This window comes from Homo sapiens, chromosome 1 (genome assembly GCF_000001405.40).
Source record: "Homo sapiens chromosome 1, GRCh38.p14 Primary Assembly".
Classification (NCBI taxonomy): domain Eukaryota; kingdom Metazoa; phylum Chordata; class Mammalia; order Primates; family Hominidae; genus Homo; species Homo sapiens.
Window position 1 is genome coordinate 149,391,758 of NC_000001.11, and position 26,177 is coordinate 149,417,934.

Genomic DNA, 26,177 nt, shown 5'->3' on the forward strand with positions numbered 1-26,177 from the left:
GCACGGGCGGGTGAGAAAAAGTGGATACGTCAATTCAAAGGGCTTCCTTAGAAAGCTTCTTTATGGTTGGATGTTTCTAACACGGTTGGACCAAGGAAAGGGAATCAAATCATATCTTCCCCATCCCACCCACACTTTTAGATTCTACATTTCTTCAGACCCTTTAGTGGAAATAACTTGGGCTTTGGAGCCCTGCTCTGTAATCCTGGATTCAAATCCAGCTCTGCTATATGAACTCACCAATAAAATGGGAATGAAATTATCCAGCTAATAGGATTAATTAAAATAATGTATATTAAACGGATGACACTCCAAAGGTGTTCAGAAAGTCCTTTGAGGGCCGAGGCTGTGTTTTACTGCTTCTGAGATTGATGCTCCCAGTGGGATGGTGTCTTGTGCATATTTGTTGAACGGAAAGCAGCCCCTTCTTTTTCTGAGCCTAATCTGAATAAAGATTTTTACCTTCACCAAAAAACTAGTACATGAACTACATCTGTTTTCAAAGAAAAGGTTAGGAAGATGATGAGCTTCAGAAAAATATGGTCTTTGTTCATTGTTAACAGTCAGTCGACATGTCAATCGCAGATGTTTAAAAAGAGAACAAGGTTATTTATCACCCGAAAATAGTACTGGGTTGTTCAGCACCAACTAGATACTTCTTGGAAAGTTCAAATTTCGTACACGTCTAGGTCACTAAGAATTTCAGAAGTGGACCAGGAGGCTTTGTAGTGATGAAGCAGAGCTGTTGTTTCTGAAGCATTTAATAAAGAGCATATATGATGGTGTTTTTGCTTTTCCTTTTTCTTTGAATGAAAGCTTTAAGTGTAGCTTTAGGATAGAGAGGAGTATAATCAATGAGACAGTCTGAGGGTAATAATCCTTGGTCTATCATTAACTTGTTTTGGTAAATAACTTAATCTTCATGATATGTAGTCTCTTCACCTATGAAGCAGGACTAAAGGAATAACCTGCTTTAGAGAATTGTAGGGAATAATAAATATGATTGTAAAGTGATTTGAAAAATTAAGTATTGGCCGGGCGCGGTGGCTCACGCCTGTAATCCCAGCACTTTGGGAGGCCGAGGCGGGCGGATCACGAGGTCAGGAGATCGAGACCATCCCGGCTAAAACGGTGAAACCCCGTCTCTACTAAAAATACAAAAAATTAGCCGGGCGTAGTGGCGGGCGCCTGTAGTCCCAGCTACTTGGGAGGCTAAGGCGGAGAATGGCGTGAACCCGGGAGGCGGAGCTTGCAGTGAGCCGAGATCCCGCCACTGCACTCCAGCCTGGGCGACAGAGCGAGACTCCGTCTCAAAAAAAAAAAAAAAAAAAAAAAAAGTATTAAATAATATGTCAGAAATGGGATTACTCTGACACATAGGGCTTCTTTTATTATAGGATCTCAGTGCATAAAACTATGCCCTCCACCTCTGCTCTGCTGAGGTGCTGCGATTATTAGCTAGCTTTTAGGTAGTCAAGTTGAGTGTTAGTCAAGTTGACTCAAAGGATAGGATTTAGATATTTTGATTTTTAGACAGGTGTTCTTTAGATGCTAAACTAATGCAGTAGAAGAGATTTAGAAGCCTGTTTCTTGGTACAAATCTTAAATCTTCTTAGAGTCTACAGTGAAGGCTTCTTGAATCCTCTTAATTTATTATTGTGTTTTGCTAAGGTACCAATTACAGCACACCCTTCTAAACTTTTGAGTGCTCCTGTGTTTGGCTTGTGGCCAATTGTTAATTTAAACATCACGGAGTTTCTAAGGCAAGGAGATGTTAGCAGTATGTCTGATTGTCTAAACAGCTATCCAGGACCATCCTCTTGCTCCTTGTTTTCTTTTGCTTTGCAATGGGAAGTGACTCCCTGATTTTGCTGCCTGCTAGATAATTTCTCAGCTGAATTCTTCTCTTAAACAAAATCGGAGTAATTTTCTTTCAGATGGTGATGAAATTTAACCTAAAACTATTTTTCCTTTCACTTTCTTATTATTCCTTTTTTTTTTGGTGTGGTGGAGAGGAGGAGGAGAGTGATTCCTAGTCTCTCTTATTTTTCTGAATGTTTAGATTTAAAAAATATTTACCCATAACTTCTTGGGATCTCTCTGCTCCATTCCCACCCTACTGCCTCTCCTGTAGGCTTCTATGACATAGAGAAGCAACTTTTGGTTCACCTGGATTGTAGTTGCTGACTTCAGGACCTTTAGAGAATGTTTAAATTCAGTGGGATATGCTTGGATGGTTCAGAGCAGCCTTACAATACATTTTAAAAATATCACACCCACAGAAATTCTATTTTGCCCACAAAATTTGCATTGATCTAGTTCCCACTCTGTGTTGCCATTCCTAGTGATCCTCCTCCCTACCTCTCCCATTATGGTAGAAAAAAACTCTGTGTCCTGGCTACATCAAAATCTGTTGGGGTGGATCTTGGACTCAGCACCCAGGGATTCTGATAAGGTAAGTTTGAGAATCCATATTTTTTCAAGGTTTACAGGTGATTCTGACAAGTAACTTGGTTGCAACCCACTGATTAAGTACATTTTTTTTTACCTTCAGGTGTGTGTATGAGGTCTTTCTAAATTTAAGAAATTTCCATAACAAATGTAACCTTAGTCATTCCAGTGTTTAACACTTCTGACTCAAGAATTTTAAAATTGCTGACGTAAGAGATATAGAATATAATGTCATTTCTTCTGTTTATCTGGGTGCAGTATGTCTGCATTGACCCTTTAGAAGGGCTTCATATATTTAGATGATATAATAAATTCTCCACCTCTCCTTTTCCCTTTTCTTCTGTTATCTCGTTTTCCTTAAATGTCATTCATACATGTTGTTTTTTGACCCTTTATCTATATACGTCTGCAATGATTTTAGAGTAAAAAACTGCAAGGCGTGATTTGAATAAGGATATAAGAAATTTTACATCATTTTCTTTATATTGTGTTCACAGTCCATAGTTACATGCTTCCTTTCTTGATGTCTCAGTTCGAATGCCTAAATTTGAACTATTAATTTTCCTTCCACCCTTTCCTGATTTTCCTGTTTTTGTTTCCCACCCTTTCTCTGCAAATGACTTGAAACCAAAAGGTCTTCTTTTCTTTCTTTGTCAGCCTACCATATGTGTAGTATTTTGGACAGATCACTGAACTAGGAGCCAGAAGACCAGAATTCTTCTCCAGGTCTGTTATTAATTGGTTTGGTGACCTTGTAGGAGAGCCACTGTTTTGGTCCTCCATTTTCTGATGTTCATTGTTCATGGTCACAGAGCCAATTAGAGTTGAGACTAGAATTCCTTTCTTCTGGTGTCCAGTGCCTCATTCACTGTCCACATTGCTTCCATCTCATGTACAAATGCGCTTATGTGCACAAAAACTCTTATAACATCCTCAAGTGCTTATTGTTAATGCGTACATGAGGAAGGAATCGTGTATTTTCATTTATGTGTTTATTCTAATGCCCATACCCTACCCCTGTACCTGGCATGATGCCTTGGTATCTAATAGGCACACAATAAATACTTGTTCAGTCGAACAATTATTTTTAGCCACTTTCTTATTTTGGACAACTGTGGTACTCCTAGACATTTTAAAAATAGTATTTGCAGGAGTCATGCTTACCTTACATTTGGGGAAAAACCAAATTTTTCCCTTCCCCAGATGTTTCATTTAAACTTGTAATTTTGAATTTCTTTGTGTGTGGGGTTTCTTTCTTTCTTTTTCTGATCACTTCTGCAATTTATAAAGGTCACTTTGACTTTGGAATCTCACTTCAAAGGCACTGCCACCCACCCCCTGCCTCTCACTCAAGTTTGCTTCCACTGCTTCCTGTATTACTGTATTACTAGGCCAGCAATTTCTGTTATTTTGTCCAGAATAGCCACACCTTATTGTAATTTCATCATTTTGGGGACTAGTCATTTTTGGAATACTATTTTTAAAATTAGAGTTAACTAAGTTTATATTTATTTTGATAATTTTTTTTGAGATTTTTTTCATTGAGTTGGATATTGCAAACTTGTACTGGATTGAGAGAATATGTACATTTAGTAAAGTATATTTGCTTTTTTTTTTTTGAACCAAGAGAGTCCCCTGAACACCCTGCTGACAAAAACTAAAGGTGAAATATGATGAATAAATATTTGAGAGAATCACATGGTGTTGAGTTGTCTCTGCCACATGATTTTGATCCTTGAGGGCCAGGTCTGTGCTACACACATTTCTTCTCTGTACTACAGAACTTGTCTGGCATGTGCCCGAAATTCAGAGTCAACTGAGCGGCAGGTCTTAGTCACAGCATCTATGACTCCTGCTTTCCCACCTTTAGAACATTCTATAGGAGAGGCTGATGGTGAGTTGGAGTGTGTTTCTATGTTCTTTTTTCCTTTGAAGAGATAGGATCAGTTGAAAGCTGACCCCACCCACAGACTTTTTTTGCTATCTCTTTTAATTAATTAAGGAGTGGCTGAAATTTTCCTCTTTGTTGACTTATGCATTGGCGGGAACTTTAAAATTCATCTAGTCTTTCTGTCCATCCCATGCTGGATCTGATGTTTACAACATTCTAGTCAAGAGGTACCATATTTTCTCTCTTCTTGAACATCTCTTGTGGTAGACAGCTCTCCACAGCAGTTTATTCCATCTTTGGCCAGCTCTAATTCTTAGAAAGATCTTCTTATATTCAGCTGTAATCCATCTCCTCATGACTTGTCCTCATTGACATCTACTCAGAAATTTGTCTCAGAGTCCTGAGACCTGTGCAGGTGATAGGGACCCAAAGAGATGCTTGTCTGTAGACTTTACTGGGCTGACACCCAGCTCTCCATAAAAGGAGTCAAACCCAGTGAGGAGCATGTCTGGGGTGATTGCTCAGGTAAAGCATCTTAGCCCTACTTGTTTCATACCTCCCTGCACAGGTGGGCACTGGTGGGAGAATCACATTTATCAAGCAGTGTTTCCCTAACCTCTCTTATGATAAGAATAGCTCAGGTGTTCTCATGGAGATTCTGATTCAGTGCATCTGGAATGTCATCTGGGAATTTGTGTGTTCAAGAAATAGCCAGGTGATTCTTACATTAGGAAAGTTTTAGAATCACTGCAGAGTGAATCTGGGAAATCAAAGTGTTTGTTTTTGTTTGTTTGTTTTTTGAGAGTATTAGAGACAGGTTGCTTTGGCTAGATCCTGTGGTCATTTTTCCCCCTTGGAAATGCCTCCTACTTGCTGGCCTCACTTAGTACAGAGAAGAAAGCTGCTATGGTATAAGGTTAGTAAAGTTGTTTGTTTTGTCTTAAAAGAAATTTGCGAAATCCAGCATTTTCGGACTTCTGTTTGTGTTGTATGACTTTGTTGTAAGCCTCCTTATTCCTCCATTAGAATGTTACCTGAGATGTTAGAATGCATAGGAGTTCCACAGCCTTTTTGGTGTCCACTAAAGAATTCTGTCCTCAGCCGTTGCAAATGGTGCTTCCTTTGAGGATTTCTGCTTCATTAGCTCATGAACACATATTTGGTGTCGGCAGTTTCCCTCAGATGTGTTAGTGTGGAGAGATATAAAGGTCACTCATTTCTGGTGGTCCTGCTTTTGGGGTTTCTGGGCTGCTGCAGCAAATGAAATAAGGAAAGGAAAATAAAGGAGGAATCTAGGGCTTCTTGAGCAGAACAAAACAATCTGCAAGAAGGGGCACAGGATTGCTCCTCTCACAAAGACACTTGATAATACTGTCCTTGATAGGAAGAAGGAAGTGGCTTCAGATCTGAAAGGATATGCTCATAGGCTTGAGACGGGACAAACTGCATCACTGGTAGTGGTAGGAGGTTTGCCGTAGATCTGTTTTTTCTCCTGTCTCTCTTTTTTGAGGAGAATATTATCTGTATGGCAGAACATACATTGTGGTCTTAAAAAGGAGAGTAAAGCCAAGAAAGGGGGATGATAAAGCCATAGCTTGGAATAAGAAAAGCAAAGGAATTATTGTATTAATTTGTGTATGTAAATACATAGGTTTCCATGTAATTCACTGGTAGGATCACTAGCCCTTGGCACTAACATTTGCTATCTTTGTAGCTCTGCTGTCTTAGTGGTGTATTGGGGGAGCATTGTGGTGTGTTGTCACACTTAATTTGTGTGCTTCCCTTGGCATCATGTGGTAGCAAGTACAGGGTATTCTACTCTTCTAGATGTGTGGGAATCATTGACCAAGTAGAAAATATGGTCCTGCTCCCAAGGAGCTGACATCATCATGGAGACAAGACAGATAAGCACACAATTAGGAATATGAAATACAGTTATTTTATCATTTATCTATGCTCTCTGAAAGCAGTTTCCTGCAGTCAGGGTGACTCGGATCTATAGGGTCTTGGGAGTAAACTTCAGGTCTTAATACCACCAGGGAAAGGCGACCTCCAGCTCACCCTTGCTGGGCTTGTCTGCTGTCGTGAGCTGTCTGCCATTTTCCTCTTTCTTTGTTGTAATTTAGAAGTATTAGAACTTGGCTTGGGGAAAAGACAAAAACCCCTTTGTCTGGTGAGGGTGTAAATATAAATTTGGCACATGTTGTTGTGTCTATTATGTCTGTTAGTGGGTTTGCGGCAAGAGAGAGTGCTGTGTTCTTAGTCCCGAATGCCAAGCCTGAACTAGGACAAGTTATGGTGGAAATATCTTCCTTGGAAGATGCAGTTCTCAGTGGCAGTGGCTGAAGGAACTTCTCGTCACAGCCAGGCAGTGACTGAAGTGTGGTGTGGACACACCCAGAGTTGCTGCCTCAGGTGGCATTGATTAATCATACTAATATCTCCCTCACCCTTTTGTACTTGTCTTGGCAAAACCCTGTTCTACTAGCTCCCCAATAGTTTGGCCTTTATTAGGTATGATTGAACAAGCTCTTGGGGGTTCACCTTAGTGTCCCTTGCCCCTCTCGCATTTCCAGCCAGCTACGTCGCTCCAGCCATGGTACCCCGGGTCCTCTGGCTAGGCAGTGAGGGGCTGGGTTTTTCTTTCCATTGGACTGAAGCACCTTTCCCTGGAGGCTTGCCTAGGGCAGTTTCTGGTCTCCGAGTCAGTTCCTTCTGCAGGATACTGGCAGCTGGCAGAACTCTGGGTTATTTGAATACATCAGCCAAACATCTTGCCAAGATGGACTCATTGTTGCATAACGACAGGTTGGATCTATGGGTGTTGCAGAACCTGTTTCTGGGTTAAGAGTAGCTCTCTCACCCTTATTATATATGTTTATTCATATGATGAATGTATGTGTGTATTTTGTGAAGTAAGGAAAACATGATGATAATATTGTGGTTGGAGTTAGATACCTTATCCTAAATATGTTGTCTTTTTAACAAATAGCATTCCTTTAAAATACAGTTGTGCTTGATGAATAAGGTGTTGTACAAGAAGCTGTGGTTACATTCTAAAATAAACTGCCTTGTTCTGAGGCAGGCATGTTTTAAAATTGTTGTTTGCTTCTTTTTCATCTCTTTTTATTTTCATCTTTTTTTTTGTGAGAAGATTCTGGAAGTTTTTAAGCCTCAAATATTTTCAATAATCTATTTTAACGGGTACCTAGCAGGGAGAGGTTGTTCTATTGGTATACCTAACCAACATTCAAATAAGAATAATTGAATACTGTTTACTCACTAATCTATTCTGTTGAGTTTCTAAGTATGAATAATCACAAAACTAGATAGTGCTGATATATTAACTTCTCTAAATGGTAAATGTGGTAAGTAGCAAAGACATTTTTGTTTAATTCTCTCCTTACACATGCTTTGGTTCAGACGCTGTCAAGACACATTGAAGTTTGAGGACATGTGTATTTCGATTATTTTATTATATTTTTATTTGCTGTGAATATGGGTTTATTTATTTGCTAGATCTTCTTTAGTTAGAAACATTAAGGGCATTTACTTTATTACAACATTTAAAGTGCATTCTAATCTTCATGAGGAATTTTAGGTAAAAGACCGTATCCTGAGATTCATGCAAGTCTTTGGCATTATGTTACTATTTAAAGTAAGTAATATGTAGTGGCTTCTCTGACATATTCTTTCTAAGAGAGTTAAGGAAAATAGTTGTAACTAAAAACAAACATTGAAACAGTTTAAGGTAGGTTTACGTAGCAACAGAATTATTCGTTATGTTTACAGATAATTAACTCATATTTAAACTTTGCTGATTTTCTCTGGCACCTTTACAAGATTTTTTTATTTTTGTAATATAAAAAGTAATTATGTTTGAAAAAGTAGTTAAGGATGTTTGAAGAATCTAGAAAAGCGTAAATAAAATGTCCACAATCATGCTGCCATTAATTTTTTGGTATACGTCTTTGGTTTTTTACCCTTAGATTTAGAAAAGCTGTTGATTTATTTATATATATATATATATATAATATATATTTTTTTTTTAGTTTATGAACAGATCTACATATATATATATGCACACACACATAATATACTATTGTCAACACTAGGTTTTATTTTTAAAAATCTTTACCATTTGATAAGTGGTAAATATTACTTAATCTTAATATGCCTCTCTCATTACAGTGATATTGAATGTTTTTTCATATCATCAGTGGCGTTTGTATTGCCTTTTTTTCTACTTCTTTTGGTAAATTGTGTCTTTTACTCATTTAATTATTTTCTTACTGGTTTGAAAAAGCTCTTTAAATATTAAGGGTGTTAGTCTTTTGTCTTAAATATGTCACAATATGTATGGAAATAATTAGCAGTATATAACATAACATCAAATTGCTACCAATGTTGATATAAAAATTGTTCATTTCATAGGTTAATTTTTTTTAATCCTTTGGTTTCTAATGATATTGGTTAATTCATTTGTTAACTGCTATTTTCTGTAGCTACTTGAAAGTTCTTATCTGACTGTATCGTAAATCAGCATGCTTTCAGCTGTATATGTCTAGGAAATTGACATTTACTTTAATACTTAATAAAAAAATATGTTGGAGAAAAGCAGTGTGTTCTGGAGTCAAATACATGATTTTGGGTGGGTGACGTAATCGGCTACTGTCCTCCTTTTCTAGATAGCCAAGATTTTTGAAGCATTTAACATCCCTGAAAGGCAGGACTAATGCTATGTCTACCATGCACTGCTAATTCTGACACTTTGACCTAATGGATAAATGCCAGTACAGTGGGTCTAGTCAGTTAGCTTGGTCAGAGAACAAGATGACTAAGATTCTCTCCCCCTTTCCTCACCAAATTGATTAGTTGTAGGACAGAACTGACTGAAGCAACCTGTTGTTTTGGCAACCCATGGACACCACCTGTTTCTTCCATTCCTCCGTCCAGCCTCTCACTGCCCTAGTGCAGTGCTGTGTGCACAGTGGGTAGGAGATCAATGTTGTTGCTAAAGAATGTAGCAATAAAGAAGAGTAGATTGCTTTTTTTCCAAGCTTTTGTGTTTTTAAGGCACCCCGCTGGTTTTGACATTCGTTGCTCCAGCTGAACTGCTCTATGCTGAAGCCCTGCAGGTCTCAAGTGTTTGGTTCAGAGTAATTTCAGGCCATATGAATGCTTTCTTAAGTATCATTGGAATTTACTGGGCTGGCTGTCTGCCAGCTATTACCATATTTAGCATGAAGAGACCTGGGGAATGAGGACATTTCTGATCAACCAAGGAAGGAAACCTATTTGAAGGATTACAATATTTTCTTTTTTTTTTTTTTTAATGGTGTAGTTCAGAAAACGCCAGTTAGACTGAGACTCAAATTTATGTCCACTGGTCTTTGTTTCTGTGCCCCATCCCAAAATTAATTTATGAATAGGAAAAGAGATTTGATAGTGAAGTTCTTTCTCACTCTGAAGTCTAATACTGTTTCTGGGAGGAAGTAAGAGAATTATTATGCCCACACTGTGCACTGAGAGGCTTAACCAGCAGGTGAAGCTGTTGATTAAAAACATAGGTTGATGAGTATTCTCATTTTTCTCCTTTGAAGCTTTCAGAAATTTTCTGCTTTGTCCTGGTCTAAATTTATTTTGGCCCAGCCCTTGTCTCCACCCTACATTTCAAACCAGTAGCCTTCCCTCTATGGCTCAACATTTCTCTGCCTCAGTTTTTTCCATTTTAAAGATGAAGATATTGTTTGGAAGGACCAGTAAATACAATTAATATAAAAATTGCTTCTGTAGAATCAAACAACCTCCAACATTTCTGTTGGAAATTTATAGTTTATAGAGTATTCTTACACAATGATCTCCTTTAATCCTCACAAACTTGGTGGAAATGGAGCCTCACAGGGGCTAGGTGACTTGTATACATTGTTTACCCCTACATAATAAGTGACAGAGCTGGTACTTAAACTTGTGGCTTGATTTTTCTTTTTTTTTTTTGAGTTGGAGTTTTGCTCTTGTTGCCCAGGCTGGAGTGCAATGGCGCAATCTCGGCTCACCGCAACCTCCACCTCCCGGGTTCAAATGATTCTCCTACCTCAGCCTCCCGAGTAGCTGGAATTACAGGCATGCACCACAACGCCTGGCTAATTTTTTGTAGTTTTAGTAGAGACGGGGTTTCTCTATGTTGGGCAGGCTGGTCTCGTACTCCTGACCTCAGGTGATCCACCCACCTCAGCCTCCCAAAGTGCTGGGATTACAGGTGAGCCACCGTGCCTGGTCCTTGCAGCTTGATTTTTTAAACATCAGATTTTTTTTTCTTTTTTGATTTTTATTATTATGTGTCTGTCATTCTGCTAGGGGCTTTGCAAATATTGCTTTATTTAATTCATATGGCTATCCTTTGGAGTAGACAATATTTTTCTACATTATAGGTAAGGAATTTGGAACTTAGGTTCACAGCTTTGGATGTTGGCCTATGGTTAGTGAGGGGTGTAGCCAGGATTCAAACCCCTGTCTGGCTCTAGGGCCGCTGCAATAAATCATGGTGTTTTATGTACATTCATACACTTAACACTTTGCAACAACCCTAAGAGACAGGGGTAGGTATTTAGGGAAACTGGGGCTTCTAACTTGCACAGGATAATGCAATTAGTAAGTGGCTTAGTCGAGATTCAGAGCTAGATCTGTCTCCATAACCCTCACTCATTCCAGGATACTGCAGATGCCTATTTTTATGATATGTATAAGTAAAAATTAATTTAAAAAACTACCTTCTTTGAAGGGTCAGCCAGTTAGAACTCTTTTGTATCTTCTGAATAAGTAAGAAGTGGATGGACATTAGCTGACCGATACATTGATGGCTTTTAACCTTCTATCAGTTGATTTCCATTACCAGGACAAGCAAATATAATTTGGAGGGAAAAGAGGGGAGTTTCCATTAAGGATGAATCTTTAAGCCGAAAAGGGCCACAGTGATGAACTCTTCAGAGGACTGCTCTCAGGAGCAATGGCCCTTCTCCTCTGGGCTCTGCTTGGGGCATTCCTGTTTGTATTTATGGAGACATCTTTTTGAAAGGCAGATGCCAGCTTTGGTGGGGAGAAGGTTGGAAAACATACAAGCCTTGCTCTAAATTTACTAGCCCCGTGTCTTTGGGCTAGTTTCTGAAGCATGGTGTGCCTCAATTTTATTATTTTAAAAATAAAGATAGTAGCAGTATATTTTGGAGTTGTTATGAAGATAATATCAGTTAATAAATGTTAGATTCATTGGACAGTACCAGGCACATAGTTAAAGTGCAGTAAATAGTAGTTATTGTTGGTATTGGTGTTATTTTATGTTGCAGTACAGACTGGCTTCTTGGTGCATTCACTTTTCTTTAATCAAAAGTGGATGAGTGATTGGGAACCTTCATGAGGAAATAGGAACATCATCTTTGCAGCCTGTGGATTGTTCACTGGTTTCCTGTGATCTAATAATTATTTAAGGGTTTCATATTTGAGTCTTTTCCCTTAATGAGGTACACTTTCAGTTTGGGGAGATTTTATCTATAGGCATACCTTATTTTATTTTGTGTTCCCTTTTATTGTGCTTCACAGATTTTGTTTTATTTTTTACAAATTGAAAGTTTGTGGCAACCCTATGTCGAGCAAATGTATCAGCACCATTTTTTCCAATAGCATATACTCACTATATGTCCCTGTGTCAGTATTTTTTAGCAATAAAGTATTTTTAAACTCAGGTATATGCATTATGCTTTAGACATAATGCTGTTGCATGCTTAATGGACTAGAGTATACTGTAAACATAACTTTTGTATGCACTGGGGAACCAAAAAATTTCTGACTTGCTTCATTGTACTGTTTGCTTTATTGAGGTGATCTGGAGCTGAAGCCACAATATCACAAAGGTATGCTTGTATTATGCAAATTGCATTGATAGGTGTTAAATCATTTTCCCAATTTTTATTAACCACACATTTGTGATTGGATGTTATGTTTAGTAAAGATATTGTGATTTTCTGAGGTACAGCTTTGAGAACAGTATCAGGTCTAACACTCTTGTTTCCAAATTTCCTATGATATGACAAACATAATCACATGCCATCCAGTGTCACCATGCAGAGTACTAATGTGAAGCCAAAATACTTGGTGTTTTAATTAGCCTTAAAGCAGTTAATGAACTATCTCTGTTAGACATTTTGAAATAATAAAAATATCCCATTGTCTTTTATTGCAACCTCAGGGGCTCCTGGAGATTTTGGGATCTTGTGTGGGGAACCACCCATCTAATCCATCCTTGTTTTAAAGAGAGAAAACCAAAGAAGCAAAGTGACTGGCCCAAGTACCTAGAGCTGGGTCAGGGTTGGGGCCAGAATTCAATCTCTTGACTTTTAGTCAAGTGATTTTTCCACTATGCTCAGTACTCAAATTATGTATCAATATGTCGGCCCTTGTTTTTTGAGGTCTGAAAAGGGTTAGTGCCAGTCAACAACAGTAGAGGAGTAGAAAGGGTGTTGGGATGGGAGAGGTGTGGCTATATTTAAAATTTCAATGACAGCAGTGAAAATAATTTGCCTGTGAACCTCTGCCTGTCCCTTTGGACTTCTTTGTAGTAGTTGAGACAACCCGGCAGGTCTGGTGTCATTAGTGATTCAGAATTGGATTAACCTGGACTGGTGGAGTTACTTTCTCAGAAAAGGGCTTTATATTTTAACATTTGTTTCCCTTGACAGTTTGCTTCTTCTCAAGTTTTGGCAGCCTTGAACAAGTGGTTGTCAGGTTTTTATTTTGTTTTGTTTTAAGAAAAAATTCCAAATTTTATTTTGCCGATTTAGTAAGTTATCCTCTACCTGCCACTCCCTTCTGCTCCCTCTATAATTATTTCTAAGACTTTATTTTTCCATTGTGGGAACATTATGGAAGGTTTTCTTTTACAGTCTGAGATATTTATAATTATGTGTAAGCACACAGTTTATGGAATATGTAAATGGTCCATATGTTAACTTAAATACCCTTAAAATATTTTCCAATAATTTAAATCTTTCCATAAAAGTAGCTGAAGCTGCTTATAATAAAAGAGAAGTATACACGAAGGATAGCAGAATTTGGATGTAGTTAATATAGATAAATATGAATGTCACTTTGGAGGAACTGGAAGTATTTGCATGAATACTGATCAAGTCATGCCTCCTTGTTAATAGAGTGAACAAAACAGATGAATGTTTCTGTTTTCATGAAGTTTATGTGACTATCAGTAGCTTCCATATTCTGAGGGTTTATTATGTGACAGATGCTTGGGGACAAAAGACTTTACTTGTTTCCTTTAGTCCTTAAAATAGATGTTAGGATTCTTGTTTACAGAAAAGTTAAGGAATGTTCATCCAGATCACCTAGCCAGTCAGTGGTAAAGAACGGTCACTGGAACCCCTCTTTCCTGATCCAAAGCCAACATACTTAACCATAATAAATAATGCCATTGTCTGGTGGAATCCTGTAGTCCCTTAGATAGTGTAATTTTGTATTTAATGTAAACATTTTGTGCACTAAACTGACTTACATTTTACTTTTTAAAACAATATTTTAATTCTGAATGAACATTTGCATAATAGGAGAATGATCTAAATTGCAAACTTCCATTTTGAAGAGTTGTAGTTCTTTTAAATCTTTTTGTAACTGGGAAGAAGAATGGAATTATGTTTGTTGTAATCCAAGGAAAGTTGGTTAGCATTCTTTCCTGTTACTTTTTGATCCCAAAAGAAATTCTTTAGTAGATTAAGACCAGGAATGAATGTGTGGATTTTTTTAAATAAAAAATTGAGAGAGATTGCAACTAGCAATTCAGAGCCAGATTTATGTTCAGAAATGTTTGATGCCAGCCGTTTTAGTTACAAATAGCTTTTTCTTGACTGTACAGTTGTGTTCTTATGGTACCATTCTGAAAGTGATGTAAGAGACCATGTAAAATGATTGGAATGCCTCAGCATCTGAACAATGCACATAGCCAATTATTAAAATTACCCAGTACTAACCTGTCTTGGCTTAGGAACTATGAAATTAACTGTGGGTAGCATTTCTACACATATCATTACAGAACAAGCATAAAGACAAGCTTGTTTTTTTCCTTTTCTGTGGATTTGTTTTTTCTTATTACCATATCTTTTGTTACTGAAAACTGGTGGTCATCTGTACTAATAGATAAGAGAAGTGTGTTTGACACCAATACCTAATCTTAGATTATCCCTGCTATTTTAAAACACAGTCCTTCACCTGCATGCTCAGACATGTGGGTTCTTTCAAACATACTGGACTTCCTCCTTAGGTTTTAGTTGTGTTAGTCAATAGTTGAATGTTGAAGGAGAGGATGCCAAGGGATATTAAAGAAGGTAAAAGAGATAAGTGACAGCAAACATTATTTATTTTTAATTATCTCTCAGAATGACTTTTAGATACCCTTCCCTACTACCTTTTGATTTTTGCTTTAGCATAGCTGGTGAGTTTTGGAATCAGAGAGACTGGGCTCTGATTTGTACTAGCTAAGAATATTAGACAAGCCACTTAACTTCTTTAAGTCTCAGTATCCGTATTTATATAATGGGAATAATAGTAATATCTAACTTGCAGGATTGTTTGTAAAGATTGAAAGCAACATATTTAATTGTGCTTGCGTGGTTCTGGGCACAGAATAGGCACCCGAGTGTAGGGGCCCCTGAACTTTAAAGTTCATTACTTTCATGGTAATTCCTCCTTTGGAATATATAGCCTGGGAACATTTGTCTCTAGACCTTGTTTCAGTTTCTTTTAATGACTCCCTTTAGGCTCTGCTTCATGGCCAACGCAAGATTATGGATCACCTAAAGAGTAGACTAAAAGTACTATTGTCTAGTAACTTCAAGTTTGTAGGTTAACTCACTGTGAATCAAAAGCTTTTAAAAATCTTTTGTGTGGTCATAGTTTGTAGTGTCTTGTACCTCTCATCTCAGAAGCAATTGATTCATAGAAAAAATTATTTAGGATTTCAGATGAAAGATGAAGAACTCTTTCAATAAGAAGGAACTGATTTGGTTGGATTATTTGTTTCTTTCACCCCTGAGTTTTCATGGAAATCAGGTTTAAAATGTTAGAAGCAGTTGGTTTTCAGCATTGGGAAAGCTTATCTGATCAGGCATGCGAAGTGGCCTATGTCGGATTTCTGAGCTAGGAAAGGCTAGGGGAGGTTGAGGAGATTATTGTACTTGTAATTCCTGAGCATGGTTGAGACACAAGGAGAGGATTGTGGAAATTGTTTTTAAAAAATTGTTGAAGTTAATGCATTCTTGGGTGGATTTGCAAAACAGAACAAAACAAAAAGTTGTTGAAGTTAGTTACACTGGTCTAACAACGTATACTTACCACCCCCATTTGGGCTGGAGGAATGGATCTAATAATAATATAGGTGTTTGTGATCTAATTTGAATCATGTAATCATTTATCATTTCTGGGTTAGATGGTAAGGATTTTCTGTTTCACAGATTTTTAGACTGGGAATTGTGCTATTATAAAATAATATTTTACATTAAATAATGCTATCTAGGTTGTAATCACCTTAATAGACATGATTTATTTGGGCCACAAATGAACTCTGGTAAGAATGGAGGGCTGGTTACATTATTTTAGTTTTACAGATGAAAATAATCAGTCTCAAATAGCTTAAGGGAATTCCTTTAGACCATATGGTTAGTATATGGAAAAGCCAGAGCTAGAACCCAGGTTCTGATTTCCAGAGCAGTTCTTATTTCATGATACCGCATAATTTTATAATGTCCCTAAATCCGAATTTCATTTCTCATGATGTGAAAGGATTCTCTTTATTTCTGTTTGGTTAGCTGCATCAGAGCATGACAGAAATGGAGCAGAATTTGAGTATTCTTTCCCCAGATGGGTCAGTTAGCTTTTCTTAAAGCTATTCTGTGCTTACATTGTTAATCAGTTGTCCCTGGTTCCTAGACAGGATGTTGATCCATGTGAAATAGGCAGGAATATGTGTCTGACTCAGCTTAACTCATCACAACTTTCATATGTCCTGCTAGTGGGTCTATAATGTCACCCTCGTTTACAGGCGTTTTTAATTTTCTGATGTCTATTTCTTAGTATTTTTCCTCAGCCATTTTTAATGTCTCAAGCCATAGTTCTTCCTGAGTGGCCTGAAGTGATTTTGCTGCTCTTTAAAGCTTCCTTAAGGTTTTTCAAGAGCGTACAACATAGGCTGCTTCTAAGTGTATTTTTATTTCCTAGCTCTTAGCATTTCTCACCTTATCATTATAACTTTAAATTTAAACAGAATACAAATTGTGTACACAGATGGGTGTGTCACTATTGCACTGTCACTTATGTAAGTGCAGTTTAGCATTTCTTCTTTCCTTTTAATCAAAATGAGGAAATAGAAAATGTTTTGTTATGGTAGTTTTACACATACACCCACAAGGAAATGTGTATCTAGAGCCTGTGGGAACTGTGACTGATACATTTCAGGGAATAAAATGTATGATGGCTAAAATTTTAACTCTGCCAAATGTTCACAGGGAAAGAAAAATTAACAAACTCACATTTTACACTTTATTTTAGCCTAGTCTCTGCCTTGTTTACATCTATATGATAATGAAGCTATACTTGTCTTTCCACAACAGTGTATTTTATAAGTTGTACCTTTTGTTTAAGGGAGCCTTCTTAACAAACTTTCTTTCAGTTGTCCAGTGTACAGAAGCTTACTGGAAGGAGTGGCCAACTAGTTAAAGGTTTGACACCTCAATATCAACAAAATGCCAAGTGGATCATTTTGACTCTCACAGCAATCCAACTGGACATTTGACCATGCCCCGTGGTCAGTGGAGAGCTTCTTCTCTGAAGGCCACTTTTGTCTAGCACATCAAGGCTATACACCTCTTTCACTAAGAAGAATTTGGCACTTTTATGTTGTGAGAGCTGAGATTCACCATTCTCCACCATCCTGAGAAGAGCTTTGATAGAAGGGCTACTCCTGAGGTACATAGATTATCCAAAATACATACAATTTTTTCATAGAAAATTATATATGTATTATAATTTTTATTCAAGACAGGTTGAAATTAATAGATTTCTTACATTCACTGCATTAAAGGAATATTTATGGCTTTGGTAATATTTTAAATTTCAAATTAAAAAATTTGAATATCTGAATTAAGTATCTCTGATTTAACTCTGTGTGTGTGTGTGCATGTGTGTGTGTGTGTGTGTGTGTTGGGAGGAGGAATAGACCTTGGAATTGTTTTTTCAAAACTTTTTTTATAATAGTGCTTAATCTCAGTTGGCAAGGAATAGCTGTCCAGAATGCTGCATAGATCTAGTGAAAAGATTTAGGGAAGTTGTAACTAGTTTAATAACCATCTGTGGAGTGACATAGATTGACACACCCAATTATACAAGACCTGAGTCTGAGAACTGTTGATGTGCAATCATCCCATCAGCATCTGCTCGTCATTATCAACAACAATAATGGCTCAACTATTTCTTTGAGGCCACATGAAAAGACAGTGTACCCATAGCAAAGGATAAGTCAGACCTGAAAAAAACATAGCCCTCTGCATCCCCTTGTTCCCAAACTTCTTTTTAAACATAACCTTTTGTGAAGTTCTGAAAGAATTCATTTTATGTTTTCTTTTTATTAATTTTTCTTCTTAAATACCATGTCTTTCTGGCTGAAATCCTTGCCAAAACCAGGAAGGGCCAGTGTACTGTGGGTGATTTTTCTAATTCATTTCTTTGTCATTTGAAGCCTTCTGTGGCTTCATGCTGCTTTATGTGTGTGTAAATATTCAGTATCTTTTCTAGTTTGCACTTTTGTCACAACTGCTATTAAGCCACCTATGGACACATTCTAATATAAATTATTTTGGCCACTGTGAGTGGGAGGGAAAGAATCAGTTCACAGGGATAAATTTGCATGTTGAGAAGATAATATATAATAGTTTGCAAAACACTTCTATGTACATTGTATCTTTTATAGAGAAAAGGCCATGTTTTTATTTGTAGAGACTGAGACAGAGACCCCATGAGATCTAATGCAGAGTCACATGACTCCAAAGCCAGGTCTTCTATCTGCTCTTTGGTATATAACTGGATCATTATTCTGTTGACAGAAATAAGGAATCTTCTTATTTTTCAAAGGCACCCTTTTGCCCTTGGAAGGTATATTTAGAAATCCTTTACCAGAGTAGAAAGAAGACAGTTATATTTTCCTGCCTTTTGATAAAAAACAGTGTGTTTTTTTCTAAATCTTGTTGTGTTTGACTAGAGTCTGATTAAGGTACCTTTTGGGAAATTAAGGTTCTATAGAAATTACTGGGCTCAATCTAGTGATACAAATATGTGTTGTTTGATTTATCAACACATTACAAACCTTAACTTTGGAGTTTTAATATCTGGTTATCTTTAATATCTGGTTATCTTCTTTCTGAAGTGTATGTACACAAAATTGATGCTAAATAAGGTCTTGTTGTTTTGGCAAATAGTGAAATGCAAGGTATTGGTAGATCAGTACTGTTATAACTTTGGTGCAAAGTTGCTGCATGCAGATTGGCTGTGGGACCTTGTTCATTTTTTGAGAACTAATGTAGAGTTTGAAAAAACACCGTAAGCCTGCATTCCAGAAGTTCTGGTATGGATAGTGTGAGCCCAGGGAATGTGCTTAGATAAAAGATCATTTAACAAATAGGTTTTGCATTTTTTTAGCAATCAGGCCTTGTGCTGAATATTAGAGTGGTTGTTTCAGAGAGTTTGCAGCAATTAGGCTTTATTGGTGCACTAAGGAGAAGCAGAGAGGAGAAGCAATTCTTGGTAACTTCCTTGGAAGTTGCAGCTAACTCTGAAAAGTCTGGGTTGAACTAGGTAAGTAACTAATTCCTAGAATCAATAAACTTTGCAGGAGTCCGTTTGATTGTACATGTAGCTCCCTGGAATTGCTATTGGTCCCTAAATCATCAGTTTGTAATGCTGGTTTTCAAACTTGAGTGCACATCAAGTTTTGGAGGACTTGTTAGAATACAGATTGCTGGGCTCACCCCCAGAGTTTCTGATCTGGTAGGTCTGGAGCGGGACCTGGTAGATTGCATTTCTAAAAAGCGTCCAGGTAATACTGCTGCTGTTTGGGAAAGTACACTTTGAGAGTCACTGGCTTACAGCAATCTCAAGGTGTTTGGATTTTTGGGCAGGGGTGCTGTGCAGGCGTTGCTGGGATCTCTTCACAGCACCTCCACTGCATAGAGGTGAGCCTCCAGATGTTTTCATTCATTCAACTAATATATGTACCTATTGTGTGCTGGGCACTGCTTAAGTTGCGAGGGGATATTGTGAAGAAAGTAAGCAAAACCCCTTTGTTTGTAGAATTTCAGTGAGCATAGTCCTGGGTTAACCTGACAACAGTCCTACTGTTTATTGATGCTTATAGGTGAGCCTATTTCTCTTTCTAGCTTTCTTCCACTTAATTTACTTTCTTTTGGAATTCTTGAATTTAATAATAATAATATTGATGTTATTAGTCATCACTATAACTTTTTATTGAGTGTGTATTTTATGTCAGACACAGTGTGGCTAAGTGCTTTACATACATTATCTCATCTAATCCTTAGAAAAAACCCTGGTGTATTAGTCTTAATTTAAAAGATGTACTTTGGAAAGGTTAGTAGTTTACCCAAGATTATGCAGCTAGTTAAAAGTGGTGCTGGGGCTGGGCTTGGTGGCTCACACCTGTAATCGCAGTGCTTTGGGAGTCTGAGGCAGGAGGATCGCTTGACACCAGGAGTTTGAGACTAACCTGGGAAACATAGCAAGACCCCATCTTTACGAAAAATAAAAAAATTAGCCAGGAGTGGGGGTGCACACCTGTGGTCCCAGCTACTTGGGAGGCTGAGGCAGGAGGATTGCTTGAGCCCCAGAGGTTGAGGCTGCAGTGAGCCATGATTATGCCACTGCACATCTGTCTGGGTGACAGAGCAAGATCCTGTCTCCAAAAAAAAAAAAAACAAAAAAAAAACAAAAAAAAGTGGTATTGGGCCTGTCTAATTGCAAAGCCACATTCTTTACTGCATGCTTTAGTCCATTGTTTTTTAAACTGCAGATCATGACCACGAATGGGTCATGAAACCAATTTGGTAGGTCTCCAACAGCACTTTGGGGGAAAAAAGGGTAGAATAGAGAGTATCACATAGTATGGACAAGCATTGTTTCTTGAAATTTTTGTTTTTGCTATGCACGTATATATGTGAATATTGAGGTCTGGTACAAGATATATTTCTCACTGTAGGTCACAGTAAAACATGTTGGTAAGCTACTATTTTCTTGGCTATGGGACTATATGTCATCTAATCACTTTTTAAAAACAGATTACAAACTGTAGGCCTTAGAAAGGTAAGTAATTTTTCAGCTGGGCATGGTGGCTCATGCCTGTAATCCCAGAACTTTGGGAGGCCAAGGCAGGCGGATCACGAGATCAGGAGTTCAAGACCAGCCTGGCCAATGTGGCAAAACCCCGTCTCTACTGAAAAAAATGCAAAAATTAGCTGGACATGGTGGCGTGCACCTGTAATCCCAGCTACTCAGGAGGCTGAGGCAGGAGAATCGCTTGAACCTGGGAGGCGGAGGCTGCCATGAGCTGAGATCACGCCATTGCACTCCAACCTGGGCAATAGAGAGAGACTGCATCTCAAAAAAAAAAAAAAAAAAACCAAGGTAAAGTAATTTTTCAAGAGCACAAAAATAGTCAGTGGCAGTACAAAGACAAGATGACTGACTTTTTTTTTTTTTTTTTTTTTTTTGAGACAGGGCCTCACTCTGTCACCCAGACTGGAGGGCAGTGGTGCGATGTTGGCTTACCACAACCTCCACCTCCCAGGCTCAAGCGATTCTCCTGCCTTAGCCTCCCGAGTAGCCGGGATTACTGGGGTGTGCCACTACCACCCGGCTAATTTTTTTGTATTTTTAGTAGAGACGTGGTTTCACCATGTTGGTCAGGCTGGTTTTGAACTGCTGACCTCAAATGATCCACCTGCCTCAGCCTCCCAGAGTGCTGGGATTACAGGTGTTAGCCACTGTGCCAGGCCAGATGTCTGACTTTTTAGCCCTTGGTCCATTGCTTTATTCTTCACACCATACCACTTCCTTAGAAGTGCACCTGGAAATGCCTGGGAATTGAATTTTATCTTTCCACATGATGGCAGATATGCTATGGAACCCTTCAGGGATGTCGGTGAAACCTGAAAAGGGAAGTTGAATCTCAGCCTGCTCTGAGTAGGTGAAAATTCTGCCTTGGATCCCCCAAAGTCTGCAGATAAAGATGTGACATTTCTCATGTTCTGCTGTGCTTGAAGGAAAGAGGGTAATAATCTTAACAGTGCCAAGCTGTAAGCATGTTGCATATATTAACTTGTTTAATTACCAATTATTTTGATACAGCGGCCATGCCTGGGATATGAACTCAGCTGTTTTGAGTGAGAAGGGGCATCCTACCAGTGTGAGTTAACACTTCTCTGTACTCTCCCCGGTTCCTCATTTTGTTCCTGCTGAGTTCAGAGCTATGTTCCTCATAGCCTGGCTTACCTGTGGATGTTCTCAGCCTCGTTTTCTTTTGCTAGATCATATATCTTCATTAGGTGGGTGATTTTGGTTTCTGTTACTTTTTCCTTAATATTAGTATATTGCTGATTTGGATCAGGGGCCAGGCTGTAGATTTTCAGCATGGTGAGGTGATGATACATGTTGGTCCCCCATGCAGAATGCTGCCTCTAGCACTTTAGCCAAAGGAGCTCTACAGTCTGTCCAGAAGTACTGGGGGACACTGGTAATAACCTGAGAACACTTACAGAGCCTTCCAGAAAGTGCCCTTTCACATCATATAAACAGATCATGGGAAGCTGAGGGAATGCAAAGTCAAGGCCTCATTGGAGAGCGGAAAGGAGGCTGAGATTGGTGGAGAGGAGTGGCTGTTACATTCTAATTAGAAGAATGACATGTGCAGGGCCATGAAGCAACTAAAGATGGGATGAAAAACTTAACTTGTGAATCGCAAAATTTGAGTAGGAAGGAGCTGGAAAGGCCTGGAAGTGCGAAGTGATTGGCCCTTGGTCAGATGGCTAGAAGATAGAGAGCCAGGCATAGAACCCAGAATCCAGGCCATCATTTTGTGGACTCTTTTATCCTAATGACATGTTAGCCAGAGGTGTCTTCCAAAGCACCTGATTATAGGGAAGAATGAATGTCACTTACCCTAGAGTGAGTGAAATAGAGATGCCAGGAAGATATACCAGGTTTATCCAGTTTCTTTGCATTTTTCTGGCATACTGTATACTCTTGAGCGCATATGTATCCTACTTTATGAAATCTGGGGGTAAAGCAGGACCCTTCACACCCTTAAAAAATGTATACCCCAAGAAAAACATTTTTAAAGCATGAACGGTTCCTCAAGTAAATACATATTTATACATTATATAAATGTCTGGCTATTAAACCATGTATGCATATGTTAACTCTAAGTAAAGCTTATTATATGTTTTTTAGCCCATAAATATGGAGATGTTTTAAAATTTCTTCCAGTGCCCCAGTGGATGGTCTTACACCTCCCCTACTTCTGGGGTACACACACCTAATTTTGCAGACCACTGGTCCAGAATGTAAATTGAAGAGTTTAATGTCTAAGATATTTGTTCTTTTGTTTGTAGCTTATCTTTTACTCCCCACGTTTCAAATATCCGTTTGCAAAATAATTTTTGAGTTAAAATTTTCAATTAAAAAACTGTATCCTTGAGGTAGAAAAGATAAAGATAGAAGATATATGTGAATTAGGTTGTATCTCTCCTTAAGAGGGAATACTGTTTTTTATCTAAGGAGAACTAACAACCCTCCCTTTCATTGTCTGGGTTGGTATAAGTAAAAATCCTTGTTTGAAGTTATTAAGCCTTCCCACCCATATGATGATTAGTTTGGTTCATAAGCTAGAGTTAGGGCTTGGTAAAGGCTCCTTTTTTTTTTTTTTTTTTTGAAGTCTTTCCACCTTAACTAGCAAGTAAGCTAGAAATGACAGAGCAGTAGAAGGGGGAATCTACCAGAGTGTCCTACAGGACCTTGTTGAATGCTACTGCTGCATGCAAGGGTTGTGGATTTGGTGTGGGCCTTCTGCAGTATCACCCAAATTTGAGCAGTACATGTAACTAAAAGTAAGAAAAATAAATTAGACAGTTTATTTCATTTCAGACTTTGGAAGCCCAGGACTGTGGGGATTAGCTATTAGCTAAGACAATGATTCACTGAGCAAATGCAGTGAAAGATTCTTTTGTTACACTGATCATCATTTGTGGAGAGACTCTGAAGAAGGATAAAGCTCTGGCTGCATAGTCAAACCAGACCTACTACTCAAGGACATGCATACTAGATATGTAGGTGTTTCCAAATATTTTTTTCAGTTGTGGGGGTACAAATCATTTCAATAGTAGAGTAACTCAGTTCATTACTGTTACTGGAAAAACAAGTTTAACCAAGCACATATCCTACTGAGGGTGAGTCAACAGTGTCATTTTAACATAAGAAGGACAGTACATGAAGTGAGTTATTCCAAGTCCTGTGGTTTTCCTACAGCTGAGCAAAGACAGCTGTTCTTTCGGAAGTGGGGCTCTAAAAAGAAGTTGCCCATCTCCTTTCTTTCTTGATTATAGCCTTTTAGTTTTCTTTTGGCCTGAGACATTTCAAAAATTCATTTCCTCCTTAGATTTCTATCACCAAATACCCTGAATTTTGATAATTTATTTATAGGGTATATTATTTATTATAGACTTATTATAGTTTAAAACTTTAATTTATCTCCCATTTCAAGATCCATGTTTGCTATATGTGTCAGATGATAAAAATGCCATAAGGAAAACAGAGGAGTGATCTTTTTTAATATGTCATTATTTTCTATAGTTCTTTAGTGGTATGGACATGGAATAAGGTGGCATTTTGTGGGACAGTATACCAAACTTAGTGATAAAATTTATACTTTTAATTTTGGAGGACAAAAGTCTTGTATTCTCAGCCTTGTGGATAAGACAGTGCTCTGAGCTGTCTGAGGTTTCCTAAATTGGGATTCAACATCATGAAGGGTATGTGTCTGGATAGTTTATTTGTTGGTTTGGGAAGGTGAGTTTTTGTCTTTTTTCCCCCTCTGAGTTGATTTCTTTAGTTGGAGAGAAGCAGACCAGATGAAGAAAATACTTTATCTCTTATGGCATTTTTGGTTTACCACATTAGTTATGACCCGTCTTCTCTGAGCAGCAGGCCATGCTTCTCTGTTCAGTAGTTCAGTTTTCACTAACTTAACTGCAGATGTGTTCTTGGAGGGATTTATTTCTAATCAATTGAATTATGGGTACTTGGATAAAATGATGATGGGTTACCTACTTTTAATAGGGCCGTCATTTTTAAGAGTAAAATCTTGTCAAGATAGGGTATATCATACTTATGATCTGGTTCCATCTCTAACTCCATAATTTCCTTTTGCTCCTGTGTTGCTACTCTATTATTGAGAAGAGATGGTATCTTGTCAGTGTCAATTTTACAAAGAAAAAATTCTAAACAATTTCAGTCATAGGGTAGTTTTTTTTTTTTTCCTGGAGAAATAATGCATAGTGTAGTATGTTGAATCCTAGAGTTGGCAAGTTTTCAAAAGTGGGGTTCTTTTGTTGTGTAGGTAGGGGTGATGCTAGTCAATGGGTGTTAGTCATTAGGGCATGTGTATGAGTGGTAGTTCTGAGATACAGCATTGGCAGCCCCTCTTGTCCCTGGTTTTGTTTTTGATAAGCAAGTCCTGGTTTTGTTTTAATAAGCAGGTCATTAGCTGATCTTTCGTGTAAATGTTTTTGATGTGCATAGCTGGTATGTGGGTGGTTACCTACCTGAGAATGTTGTAGTCACAAATGTATATTATGGAAGTTTGCAGATTATGGTGGATATCAGGTTTTCCTTTTTTTTTTTTTTTTTTTTTTTTTTTTTTGAGACAGAGTCTCGCTCTTTCGCCCAGGCTGGAGTGCAGTGGCGCGATCTCTGCTCACTGCAAGCTCCGCCTCCCGGGTTCACGCCATTCTCCTGCCTCAGCCTCCCAAGTAGCTGGGATTACAGGTGCCCGCCACCACGCCCGCTAATTTTTTGTATTTTCAGTAGAGACGGGGTTTCACCGTGTTAGCCAGGATGGTCTCGATCTCCTGACCTCGTGATCCGCCTGCCTCGGCCTCCCAAAGTGCTGGGATTACAGGCGTGAGCCACCGCGCCCGGCCGGATATCAGGTTTTTCTAACTGCGTATTTACAGATGTAGTGAGTGAAAGGAATGTTGGGTCAGTAGGTAAAAGACTTGTGCTCTGGTCCTGGTTCAGACATCTTGATTTGTGTGACTTTGGGCAAGGCCCTTATTTCTTTGAGTTGCAGTTTCTTGTGTAAAATGGTGCTAATACCAATTTACATGCCTCATAGTGTTGTTGTGGGGATCAAATGAGATCACTGTTTATGAGCAGCCTTCTCAGGAGTGAGAAATAGAGGGTTGTGAGCTGACTTTCTGATTTGTTTGGCTGAGGTGTTCACACAAGCCATAGAATGCTTTGTAGGCTTGGGTGGAGGAATGTAGATGGAAATCAGCTGAAAATCCCTGCCTATTAGAAGCTGAGATGTTAATCCTAAATATATTCTATGGAGTACTATCAGATGCCTTGCTTTTCTTCATGATGCCCTATTAGCTTCATCTTCAGGTAGCATAGGTGCCTGTTACTCTCATTTTACTTGAAGAAACTAACCAGCCAACTGATTTAG

General features: G+C 38.3%; 1 protein-coding gene across 2 annotated transcripts in view; it reads left to right on the forward strand.

Moving 5' to 3' along the window:
- The window catches only part of NOTCH2NLC (notch 2 N-terminal like C), an 81,213-nt gene that overhangs the window by 1,137 nt on the left and 53,899 nt on the right, over positions 1-26,177 (forward strand). The window lies entirely within an intron of this gene.